Source organism: Homo sapiens, chromosome 22 (assembly GCF_000001405.40).
Source record: "Homo sapiens chromosome 22, GRCh38.p14 Primary Assembly".
In the NCBI taxonomy this organism is placed as follows: domain Eukaryota; kingdom Metazoa; phylum Chordata; class Mammalia; order Primates; family Hominidae; genus Homo; species Homo sapiens.
The window spans coordinates 16,463,769-16,477,159 of record NC_000022.11 but is presented as its reverse complement, the minus strand read 5'-3'; the positions used below and the strand labels follow the sequence as shown (position 1 = coordinate 16,477,159).

General features: G+C 36.1%; 1 pseudogene, besides 1 other annotated feature; it reads left to right on the top strand.

Annotated features, from left to right (window-relative positions):
* The window catches only part of SLC9B1P4 (solute carrier family 9 member B1 pseudogene 4), a 48,121-nt pseudogene continuing 35,014 nt past the window's right edge, over positions 285 to 13,391 (top strand).
* Positions 4,126 to 4,326: a silencer, noted in NCBI's record as "peak4435 fragment used in MPRA reporter construct". NCBI's record gives its function as "represses an SCP1 promoter by STARR-seq MPRAs in K562 erythroleukemia cells {active_cell/tissue: K562}" and the evidence as "EXISTENCE:reporter gene assay evidence [ECO:0000049][PMID:32103011]".

The window sequence follows — 13,391 nt, the reverse complement described above, 5'->3', positions numbered from 1 at the left end:
CCCAAAGTGCTGGGATTAAGGCGTGAGCCACTGCACCTGGCCCACATATAGTTTTTAAATATTTTTAAAGTGAAAACACTTTGTTTAAAACCTACTTCATAAATTGACAGGTTATTTGGAATATATGTTAAGCAGATATCTCTTTCACCAAACTAGTAAGCAATGTTGATCTATACCATGTATCATTTTATAGAACTGGCTATTAGTATATATGATAAAAGAGAATTGATCCTTTGTTTGTATACATCTATGTGTATGTAGATATATAGCTGTACACTTCTTTGTATTTCAGGAGTTACACTGTTTGTGATATGGTGTATGACCTGGTCAATCTTAGGCTCTGAAGCTCTCCCTGGTGGAAATTTATTTGGATTGTTAATTATTTTTTATAGTGCCATTAGTGGGGGAAAAATTTTACAACTCATTAGAATACCTTTAGTGCCTCCACTTCCACCTCTTCTTGGTAAGTATATAATTAGCTCTCTTTTCTTTATTATTGACTATATGCAAATTTTGAACATTTTCTTGTTGAATTAGTTATAATTCAGAAATATTTCAATGTAGTATGTTTTATATAGTTTCTTCATGTGTGTGTGTGTGTGTACAGCTCCTTTATAGGGGCATTTATTTCTCTCTCTGTCTACATATATACACACACAAGTTTTATCCAAAATTTATTTTTAAAGTAAATTTAATATCCTTAGTACATTATTCCTGTTGCTTTATTGTTTAATAGAATCTTTAAAAATTTTAGATAAATGGAGTACATGTGCAGGTTTGGTACATGGATATATTGCATAATGGTGAGATTTGGGCTCTAGTGAACCCATCAGCAAACAGTGAATACTATACCCAATAGGTAATTTTTCAACCTTAACCCTCCAACGCTCTCTCCTTTTGGACTCCCCAGTGTCTATTATTTACATCTTTATGTCCATATGTACCCATTGTTTAGCTCCCACATATAAGTGAGAACATGTGGTATTTGATTTTTCTGTTTCTGAGTTATTTCACTTAGGATAATGGTGTTCAGCTCTATCCATGTTGCTGCAAAGGACATGATGCCATTCTTTTTTATGACTGCATAGTATTCCATGGTGTATATGTACCACATTTTCTTTATTTAGTCATTTAAGTTGATTCCATGTCTTTTTATTGTGAATAGTGCCACAATGAACATATGTGTGTATATGTCTTTATGGAAGAATGATTCACATGTTGAACCATCCTTGTATTTCTGGAGTAAAACCCACTTAACTATATTATCTTTTTGATGTACTATTGAATTCATTTTGCTAGTTGAGAATTTTTGCATCTATGTTCATCAGGGATATTGACCAGTTGTGTGTGTGTGTGTGTGTGTGTGTGTATGGCTTTGCCTGATTTGGGTACAATTGTGATACTAGATTCATAGAATGTGTTAGGGAGGGAGTCCCTCCTTGATTTTTTTGGATTGAGTTTCAGTCACCTTTGACCCTGAACTAGCATTCTAGTGGATTGTACAATGACCCTGAACTAGTGGATTGTACAATGAATAAATGAATGAATATAAATTATTGTAAAATAAAATTTTGTTAAGTATATGATAACCATACAAATGCAAGACAATAAACAATGTGATATGAAAACTCTCAGCCAGCCTACCATATTTGTGTTTGTTTTTGAACTGCATAGTGGGAGGAGGTGCTCCTTAAAATTTTCACTTTGTAAACATTTATTCTTTGATTTTAACCATCACTGCTATAACCACCATCACTCGTGGATTCACCAAAAATTAAGTAAAGAATTATCTTATTTGTTTTTATAAAACTTTGTAAAATGTATGTAGAGCTCACATTTATTTCATTGTTTAATACTAGAAGTGTTTTGGATCTTTATTTAGAAGTTTGGTGATGTTTTGTGACCAGAAATATGCTATAGGAAATTGACTCTTGTTTATATCATTTAGCCTATGCTAAAATTGGTTTTGTTATATACCATCTTACTCAAAGTTGCCATTTCCAATCACCTATCGACGATGTTAAGTGAGAACTTACTGTATTCAAATATATCTAAATATTCAGTACAGTGGGCCAGGCATGGTGGCTCATGCCCATAATCCCAGCACTTTGGGAGGCCAAGGCAGGAGGATCACCTGAGCCCAGGAGTTCAAAACCAGCCTGGGCAACATAGCAGACCTTGTCTTTACAAAATATTAAAAATTTTTCTGGGTCTCAGCTACTCAGGAGGCTAAGGCAAGAGGATCACTTGAGCTCAGGAGGTTAAGCCTACAGTGAGCCATGTTTGCATCACTGCACTCAGCTTGGGCAAAATAATGAGACCCTGTCCCCAAAAATAAATATATATTCAGTACACTGTCAGTAGAGATAATCTCTACATCTTATCTCTGCTGTCCCTTCTGTATCCACAGTTTTCTTGCAACACCTTCTCAGTATTTATTGAATCATTTTCCTCCTCTCCAAACTTTCTCTTTTGCTCTAGCTTAGGCTATTTGTTTCCAACTTTTGCGTGGACTGTGGCAGAGCCTTCAATTTGGTCTCTGTCTCCAGTTTTATCCCTAACTAATTCACCAAGACCCTCATATAAAAATCGCAAGACTCATTATGTTACTTCCTGCCTAAAACCTTCCCATGGTGCCTTACTTTGCCAAAGTGGGGGGAGACCTTTCTATGATCTGGCCCACCAAGCTCATTCTCCTCCCTCCTTTCCTTGTCCTGTATGTTCCAGCAACACTAAATTACTTGTTGAACCCCATTTAGGTGTATTGTTTCTTATCACCATTCCTTTATTCATGCTGCCTTCTCTACTTGCTTGTAACCTGTCCTTTACCAAAATAATGAGAGACATAGTGCATTAGAAAATAAAGTAAACATTTCTGTTTTCTTTCTCAGAAAAATGAACTGTCATGTATGTTTATTTTCTTTCTTTTAAGGGATGTTACTGGCTGGTTTTACAATTAGGAATGTTCCATTCATCAATGAACATGTCCATGTTCCTAACGCATGGTCTTCAATTTTAAGAAGCATTGCCCTTAACATTATTCTAATACGAGTTGGGCTTGGACTCGATCCACAGGTAGATTTTACAATTACAAATCGAGTAAGGTTATTTCAAATATTAGAGGATGGTGAGAAAGAAAAAGAAGCACATATTTTATTTACCTGTTCCAAGTGGAGTCTGTAAACAAACCTAAGATAAAGAAAAAAAGGCCGGGCATGATGGCTCATGCCTGTAATCTACAAAAATTAGCCGGGCATGGTGGCATTTACCTGGTAATCCCAGCTACTCGGGAGGCTGAGGCAAGAGAATCGCTTGAACCTGAGTGACAGAGGTTGCAGTGAGCTGAGATAGTGCCACTGCAATCCAGCCTGGGGGACAGAGTGAGACTCCGTCTCAAAAAACAAAACAAAACAAACAAAGGTTTTATAAGAAAAACCTTATACAATTCTTTTTCTTTTCTTAGGGAGATGAAGGATTTCAGTAATTTTTTATGACGTTTTCTCTACAGGATTATTTTCCTGATTATCTTTGCATTATTGTAAAATCTAATCTTTTAAAGCATTTCTTAAAATATTACATTCTAGGGATCATAAATCCCATCTATAAGAAGATGACTATTCATGAATATGACAGCCACTCAAATAAATGTGGCAAATGTGGTTTAATAGAAATAGCTCAAGAGCATAAATAATTATAGCCAATGAGATTATATTCTCCAGTAGAAAGTATGAACCAAGGAGAAAATTGAAAAGTTCTCCCTTTTAAAATGAATTATGCAGTTTTTAAGCTATTTTCTTTGGCATGTTAGTATTGTATTTATACTTATTAAGTTAATCAAACAGTTCATATCAAAAAGTTAATGGGAAAACACTAATAGGACACTATTATTATACTACGTATTAGGAAAGTTCAGGAAGGTAGCTTTAGCTATTTAATCACAGTAAAATTGATCTTTTAATAATTAAAATACAGTAATATTTTATAAAAGATGAAATTGTTTATAATCCAACCTATGATGACATATAAAATATAATAGAGTTCAAAGTCCAGTGGGACAATCTGTTGAAATGAGATTTTGTTTAGTGAAAGCTTCTTATGAAAAAAGACTTTATAGTCCAACATTTGTTAAAATAATTTTCTTGTTGGCCATTGTAAATGTATCAAATGTGACTGCTTTCTGTTTCAGGCTTTGAGGCATTTGAAGGTGGTTTGTTTCAGATTGGCTGTAGGTCCACGCCTTATGGAGGCAAGTGCAGCTGCTGTTTTTTCCCACTTCATTATGAAATTTCCCTGTCAATTGGCAATTCTATTAGTGTAATTTCTTTCTCATTTTTTCTTGTGAAAATATTCAATTAAGGATGCTTGGTTAAAACTGTTAAAATATTCAGAATATTGTATAGAAAAGCTCTATTAAAATTCATTTCACAGTGTTAAAATCCTTGGAAAGCAGTTGATTAAAAGCAGAGCATGTCCCAAATTGCACGAAATTTTTTTAGCAAACATTCATAGCCCCTAAATGTTTATCATCAAGAAAATTCACGTGATCAATTTATTCCTTTTCGTCTGTATTATAACATATCTGTATGTTTTAATCTATCTAATGGCCTCTTCCTCATAGCTATATGTAAATACAGTTGCACATTTCATATATATGTATGTGTGTATATATATATGATAAACATTTTATATAGACATAGGTGTATAAATATAAACTCTCCCATTTTAAAGAAAGCAAACAAAAACTCTTGCTGTATATCCAGTGCCCCATCCATCTTTATCTACCATCCATTTGTCTCATGTTTGAATTCCTCAAAATAAGTCTATAACTACTGTCTCTAGATCCTAACTCCTTTTCACTTCTTAATTCATCAACTTTTGTCTCTGCTTATCCATTCCAATGACACTCATAGCAAAGTTCATCCATTACATAGTTACTACAAAATCCAGTGAATTTTTAAATTAATGTTTATGATAAAATACTCAAATGCACTTTTATTTTAAAAATTAGAACTTTATAAATAAAGGAGGAATGACCTTAAACTATGGCTTCAAATCATAATGCCCATAACTCTACCCAAAATGACAACCCTTAGGAGTTTTTTTCTTCTCCAATTTTTATTTTGGCTCAAGTGGTACATGAGCAGGCTTGTTATATGGAGAAATTGCATGTCACAGGGGTTTGGTATGCAGATTATTTTGTCACCCAGGTTGTAAGCATAATACCCAATAGGTAGTTTTTCTATTCTCCCCCTCCTTCCAGCCTCCACCCTCAAATTCACCTAGTGACGATTGTTCCCTTCTTTCTGTCCATGTGTACTCAGTGTTTAGCTCCCACTTATAAGTGAGAATATGGGATATTTGGTTTCCTGTTCCTGTGTTAATTCACTTTGCATAATGGCCTCAACTCCATCCACGTTGCTCCAAAGGACATGATCTCGTTCTTTCTTATGGCTGTGTATTATTCTATGGTGTATATGTGCCACATTTTCTTTATCCAGTTCACCATTGATGGGCATTTAGGTTGATCTCATGTCTTTTTTATTTTTTTCATTAGTTTTTAAGGAACAGGTGGTGTTTGTTTACATGGAAAATATTTTAGTGGTAATTTCTGAGATTTTGGTGCACCCATCACCAGAGCAGTGTACACTGCACCCGAGGTGTAGTCTTTTATCCCTCACCCTCCTCCTACTCTTCCCCCTAAGTCCCCAAAGTCCATTGTATCATTCTTATGCTTTTGCATCCTCATAGCATAACTCCCACTTATAAGTCAGAACATACAATGTTTGGTTTTTTCATTCCTGAATTACTTCACTTAGAATAATGGTGTCTGACTCCTTCCAGGCTGCTGTGAATGCCATTATTTCATTCCTTTTTATAGCTGAGTAGTATTCCGTCCCTGGTCTGTGTGTGTATATATATATACACACATACACATATATGTGTCTATATACACACATATATATATACACCACATTTTCTCTATGCATTCATTGATTGATAGGCATTTGAGCTAGTTCCATATCTTTCACAATTGCAAATTGTGCTGCAATAAACGTGTGTGCAAGTGTTTTTTTTCATATAATGACTTCTTTTCCTCTGGGTAGCTACCCAGTAGTGGGATTGCTAGATCAAATGGTAGATCTACTTTTAATTCTTTAAGAAATCTTCATGCTCTTTTCCATAGTGGTTATATTAGTTTACATTCCCCCCAGCAGTGTAAAAGTGTTCCCTTTTTACCACACCCATGGCAACATCTATTTTTTTTTAATTTTTTGATTATGGCTATTCTTGGAGGAGTGAGATGGTATCGCATTGTGGTTTTGTTTGCATTTCCTTGATAATTAGTGATATTGAGGATTTTTTCATGTTTCTTGGCCATTTATATCTGCTTTTGGGAAGTGTCTATTCATGTCCTTAGCACACTTTTTGATAGGATAATTTGTTTTTTTCTTGCTGATTTGTTTGAGTTCCTTATAGATTCTGGATATTAGTACTTTGTTGGATGCATAGTTTGTAAAGATTTTCTCCCACTCTGTAGGTTGTCTTTTTACTCTGCTGATTATTTCTTTTGCTGTGTAGAAGCTTCTTAGTTTAATTAAGTCCCATCTATTTATCTTTGTTTTTGTTGCCTTTGCTTTTGGGTTCTTGGTCATGAAATCTTTGCCTAAGCAAATATCTAGAAGGGTATTTCCAATGTTACCTTCTAGAATTTTTATAGTTTTAGGTGTTAGATTTAAGTCTTTGATCCATCTTGAGTTGATTTTTGTGTAAGGTGAGAGATGAGGATGCAGTTTCATTCTTCTACATATGGCTTGCCAATTATCCCAGCACCATTTGTTGAATATGGTGTCCTTTCCCAACTTTATGTTTTTGTTTCCTTTGTTAAAGATCAGTTGGCTTAAGTATTTCGCTTTATTTCTCGGTTCTCCATTCGGTTCCATTAGTCTATGTGCCTATTTTTATACCAGTATTATGCTGCTTTGGTGACTATAGACTTATAGTATAGCTTGAAGTCAAGCAATGTGATGCATCCACATATGTTCTTTTTGCTTAGTCTTGCTTTCGTTATGCATGCTATTTTTGGGTTCCACATGAATTTTAGGATTGCTTTTTCTAGTTCGGGGAAGAATGATGATGTAGATTGCTTTTGGCAGTATGGTCATTTTCACAATATTGATTCTACCTATCCATGAGCATGTGATGTGTTTCTATTTGTTTGTGTCATCTATGATTTCTTTCTGCAGTGTTTTGTAGTTTTCACTGTAGAGGTCTTTCACCTCCTTGGTTAGGTATATTCCTAAGTTGGTTTGCTTGGGGTTTTTTCTTTGGTTTTGTTTGTTTGTTTGTTTTGTTTTTTTTTTGTAGCTGTTGTAAAAGGGGTTGAGATCTTGATTTAATTCTCAGCTCAGTCACTGTCGGTGTATACCAGTGCTACTGATTTGTGTACATTGATGTTGTATCCTGAAACGTTACTGAATTCATTTATCAGATCTGGGAGCTTTTTGGATGAGTCTTTAGGGTTTTCTCATTATATGATCATATCATCAGGAACAGCAACAGTTTGACTTCCTCTTTACTGATTTAGATGCCCTTTATTTCTTTCTCTTGTCTGATTGCTCTGGCTAGGACTTCCAGTACTATGTTGAATAGAAGTGGTGAAAGTGGGCAACCTTGTCTTGTTCCAGTTCTCGGGGGAATGCTTTCATCTTTTCCCCATTCAGTATAATGTTGACTGTGGGTTTTTCTTTTTTTCTTTTTCTGTATTTTTTTTTTTTTTTGAGATGGAGTCTTGCTCTGTTGCCCAGGCTAGACTGCAATGGCCCAATCTCAGCTCACTGCAACCTCTGCCTCCCAGGTTCAAGCAATTCTCATGCCTCAGCCTTCCAAAAACCTGGGAGTAGCTCCCCAAGCTTGCCCGCATCTATTACTTTTTGACTTTTTAATAATAGCCATTCTGCCTCCTGTGAGGTTGTATCTCATTGCACTTTTGTTTTGCATTTCTCTAATGATTAGTGATGTTGAATATTTTTCCGTATACTTGTTGACTACCTGTTTGTCTTCTTTTGAGAAGTGTCTTTTCCTGTCCTTTGCCCATTTAATGGGGTTGTTAGATTTTTGCTTGTTGATTTTTCTAAGTTCTTTTTGGATTCTGGATATTAGACTTTTGTCGAATGCATGGTTTGCAAATATTTTCTCCCATTCCATAGGTTGTTTGTTAATGATTTCTTTTGCTGTGCAGAAGCCCTTTAGTTTAATTAGGTCCCATTTGTGAATTTTTGTTTTTGTTGTAATTGCTTTTGGCATCTTTGTCATAAAGTGTTTTCCAGAATTGAAATTTCCTAGGATATGTCCAGAATGGCCTGTGTCCAGAATGGTATTTCTTAGGCTATCTTCCAGGGTTTTTATAGTTTTGGGTTTTACATTTAAGTCTTTAATCTACCTTGAGTTGATTTTTGTAAACGGTGAAATGTATGGAGTCCAGTTTCAATTTTCTGCATACGGCTAACCAGTTATCCCAGCACAATTTCCAAGTAGGGATTCCCTTCCCCATTGCTTGTTTTTGTCAAGTTTGTTGAAGAGTAGATGGCTATAGCTGTGCAGCTTTATTTCTGTGTTCTGTAACCTGTTCCACTGGTCTATGTCTGTTTTTGAGTTCCTTATAGATTCTGGATATTAGTACTTTGCTGGATGCATAGTTTGTAAAGATTTTCTCCCACTCTGTAGGTTGTCTTTTTACTCTGCTGATTATTTCTTTTGCTGAGCATAACCATGCTGTTTTGCTTACTGTAGCATTGTAGTACAGTTCGAAGTCAGGTAGTGTGACGCTTTCGACTTTGTTCTTTTTGCTTAGGATTGCTTTGGCTATTTGGGCTTTTTTTTTTTTTTTTTTTTTTTTTGGCTCCAAATGAATTTTAGAATGCTTTTTTTTAATCCTGTGAAAAATGTCATTGGTGTTATGATAGGAATAGCATTGACTCTGTAAATAGCCTTAGACAGTATGGCCATTTTAACAATATTGCTTCTTCCTATCTGTGATCATGGAATGTTTTCCTTTTGTTTCTGTTGTCTCTGATTCTTTGAGCACTCGTTTGTAATTTTCATTTTATAGATTTTTCACCTCCCTGCTTAGCTGTATTCCAAGGTATTTTGTGGTTTTTTTGTGGCTACTCTGAATGGGATTGCATTCTTGATTTGGCTGTCAGCTTGGATGTTGTTGGTGTATAGAAATGCTACAGATTTTTGTACATTGATTTTTGTATCCTGAAACTTTGCTGAAGTCATTTATCAGATCTGGGAGCTCTCGAGAGGCTACTATGGGGTTTTCTTGGTATAAAACTGTTTCACCTATGAAGAGGCATAGTTTGACTTCCATTCTTCCTATTTAGATGTCTGTGTTTCTTTCTCTTGCCTAATTGCACTGGTTAGGACATCCAGCACTATGTTGAATAGGAGTAGTGAGAGTGGGCATCCTTGTCTTGTTCCAGTTCTCAAAGGGAATATTCCAGCTTTTTCCCATTCAGTATGAAGTTGGCTGTGGGTTTGTCATAAATGGCTCCAATTATTTTGAGGTATGCTCCTTCAGAAACTCATTTGTTGAGGGTTTATATCATGAAGGGATGTTTTTATTTTTAGTTCTATTTTATGATGAATCACATTTATTGGTTTGTATATCTTGAACCAAACTTGCATCCCAGGGATAAAGCTTACTTGATCATAGTAGACTAGCTTTTTGATATGCTGCTGGATTCAGTTGGCTTGTATTTTGTTGAGGATTTTTGCATCTATGATCATCAGTGATAACTGTCCTGAAGTTTTCTTTTTTGTTGTGTCTCTGCCAGGTTTTCATATCTGAATGATGCTGACCTCATAAAATGAGTTAGGGAGGGATCCTTCCTCCTCATTTTTTTCAGAATAATTTCAGTAGCATTGGTACCAGCTCTTCTTTACACTTCCGGTAGAATTTGTCTGTGAATCTGTTGGGTCCTGGGCTTGCTTTTTTTTTTTGGCTCAGAGACTTTTTATTACTCATTCAGTTTCAAAACTCGTTTTTGGTTTGTTCAGGATTTCAATTTCTTCCTAGTTCAATCTTGGGAGGTTGTATGTTTCCAGAAATTTACCCATTTCTTGTAGGTGTTCTACTTTGTTTGCATAAACATGTTCATCATAGTCTGTGAGAGTTTTTTATATTTCTGTGTGGTTGGCGGTAATGTCCACTTTACCATTTCTGATTGTGTTTTTTGTATCTTCTCTTTTTTTTTTCCTTATTGGTCTAGCTAGTGACCTATCAAATTTATTTATTCTTTTGAAGAACCAGCTTTTAGTTTCATTTATCTTTTGTATGGCTTTTCATGACTCAGTTTCATTCCATTCTGCTCGGATTTTGGTTATTTATTTTCTTCTGCTAGCTTTGGGTTTCTTTTCCTCTTGTTTTTCTATTTCCTTTAGGTATGATATTAGGTTGTTAATTTAAGATCCTTCTAACTTTTCAATATGGGCATTTAGCACGATAAACTTTTCCCTTAACAATGCTTTGCCTGTGTCTTAGAGAGCCTAGAATGTTGTATCTTTGTTTTAATCAGTTTCAAAGAATTTATTGGTTTCTGCCTTAATTTCACTGTTTACCCAAAAGTCATTCAGGCACAGGTTGTTTAATTTCCATGTAATTGTATGGTTTTGAGAGTTCTTCTTAGTGTTGACTTCTATTTTTGTTACACTGAGTGGTCCAAGAGTGTGGTTGGCATGATTTCAGGGGTTTCTTTTAATTTATTGAAAATAATTTTAGACTGATAGTGTGATCAATTTTACAATATATGCCATGTACAGATGAGAGGAAGATATATTCTGTTGTTGTTGGGTGGAGTGTTCTGTAGATGGCTGTTAGGTCCATTTAGCCAAGTGTTGACTTCAAGTCCTGAATATCTTTGTTCATTTTCTGTCTCTATGATCTGTCTAGTACTGTCAGTGAGATGTTGAAGTCTCCCACTATTATTCTGTGGTTATCTAATTCTCTCTATAGGTCTCTATGAACTTGTTTTACTAATATGAATGCTCCAGTTTTGAGCACATTTATGTTTCAGACAGTTAAGTCTTCTTGTTGAATTGAACCCTTTATCATTACGTAGTGCCCTTCTTTGTCTTTTTGATTGTTGTTGGTTTAAAGTCTATTTTGTCTGAATTAGAATAACAATGCTTACCTTTTTTTGTTTTGCATTTGCTTGGTAGATTTTTTTCCATCCTTTTACTTCAAGCCAATGGGTATTGTTGCATATGAGCTGGGTCTCTTGACAACAGATACGGTTGGGCTTTGCTTCTTTAACCAACTTGCCATTCTGTGAGTTTTAAGCGGGGCATTTATACTGTTTACATTCACAGTTAATATTGGTATTTATAGCTTTGGTCCTGCCATTATGTTGTTAGCTGGTTATTATGCAGACTTGATTGTTATTATGCAGGCTTTACAACGTCAATGGTCTATGTACTTAAATGTATTTTTGTGGTGGCCATTAACAGTCTTTCACTTCCACGCTTAGCACTCCCTTAAGGACCTCTTGTAAGGCATGTCTGGTGGTAACAGATTCCGTCAGCATTTGTTTGTCTGAAAAGGATCTTACTTCTCGTTCACATATGTTTAGTTTGGCTGGATATTAAGTTCTTGGTTGAATTTTTTTTTTTTTTTTTTTTTTTTTTTTGTGACAGAGTCTTGCTCTGTCCCCAGACTGGAGTGCAGTGGTGCTATCTCGGCTCACTGCAACCTCCACCTCCTGGGTTAAGTGATTCTCTTGTCTCAGCCTCCCGAGTAGCTGGGACTACAGACACGCACCACCATGCCCAGCTAATTTTTGTATTTTTATTAGAGATGAGGTTTCACCATGTTGGCCAGGATGGTCTTGATCTCTTGACCTTGTGTTCCACCCCTCTCAGCCTCCCAAAGTGCTGGGATTACAGGCATGAGCCACCACACCCGGCCAAGTATTTTTTTTTTTTAAGAATGCTGAAGGCCGGGCATGGTGGCTCACACCTGTAATCCCAGCACTTTGAGAGGCCGAGGTGGGCAGATCACGAGGTCAGGAATTTGAGACCACCCTGGCCAATATGGTGAAATCCTGTCTCTACTAAAATTACAAAAAATTGCCGGGTGTTGTGGTGCGCACCTGTAGTCCCAGCTACTTGGGAGGCTGAGGGAGAAGAATTGCTTGAACCCGGGAAGTGGAGGTTGCAGTGAGCCGAGATAGCACCAGTGCACTCCAGCCTGGGCAACAGAGTGAGATTCCGTCTCAAAAAAAAAAAAAAAAGAATGCTGAATATAGGCCCCCAATTTCTTTTGGATTGTAGAGTATCTTATAGTTCCACTGTTAGCCTGATGGGATTCCCTTTGTATGTGACCTGCCCCTTCACTTTAGCTGCCTTTCATATTTTTTTATTTCATGTTGACCTTGGAGAATCTGATGTCTGTCTGTCTTGGGGATGGTCATCTTGTATAGTATCTCACAGGATTCTCTGCATTTCCTGGATTTAAATGGTGACTTCTCTAGCAAGATTTGGGAAATTTTTGTGGGCAGTATCCTCAAATATGTTTTCCAACTTGCTTGTTCTTTCTCCCTTTCTTTGAGTGATGCCTTGAGTCATATGTTTGGTCTCTTTACATAATCTCAGATTTCTCAGAGGTTTTGTTCATTCTTTTTTGTTCTTTATTTTCGTCTGACTGAGTTGATTCAAAGAAGTGGTCTTTGAGATCTGAGATTCTTTCCTCAGCTTGGTCCGTTCTGCTGTTAGTATTTGTTATTGTTTTATGAAATTCTTGAGGTGCATTTTTCAGCTCTATCAGTTTAGTTTGGTTCTTTCTTAAAATGCCTATTTCATCTTTCAGCTCTTATGTCATCTTATTGGATTCCTTAAATTATTTGGATTGGATTTTGACTTTCTTCTGAATCTCAATGATCTTTGTTTCTATCCAGATTCTGAATTCTATGTCTGTCATTTAATCCTGGTTAACAACCATTGTTGAAGAGTTAGTATGATTGCTTGAAGACAGGAAGACATTCTGGCTTTTTACATTGCCAGAGTTCTTGCACTGGTTCTTTCACATCTGTGTGGGCTAAGGTTCCTTTAATGTTTTGAATCACTGTCCTTTGGATGGAGCTTTTTCCTTTTTTATATTCTTTAATGCCCTTGAGGGTTTGACTGTGGCACAAGGTAGTTTCAATCAAATGGCTTCATTTCTGGAAGATTTCAGGGGGCAAAGGCTCAGCTCAGCACTCCTGAACGGCGTGCTCTAACTTTGCAAGGCTGGTACCATACTCACAGATTTGTTGTCTGGCCCTTCAATGTTAAGCACTGAGGTGTTCCCAGTCCACTGGCAACAACACTCTGATGGGGTGTGCCAGCCAAAG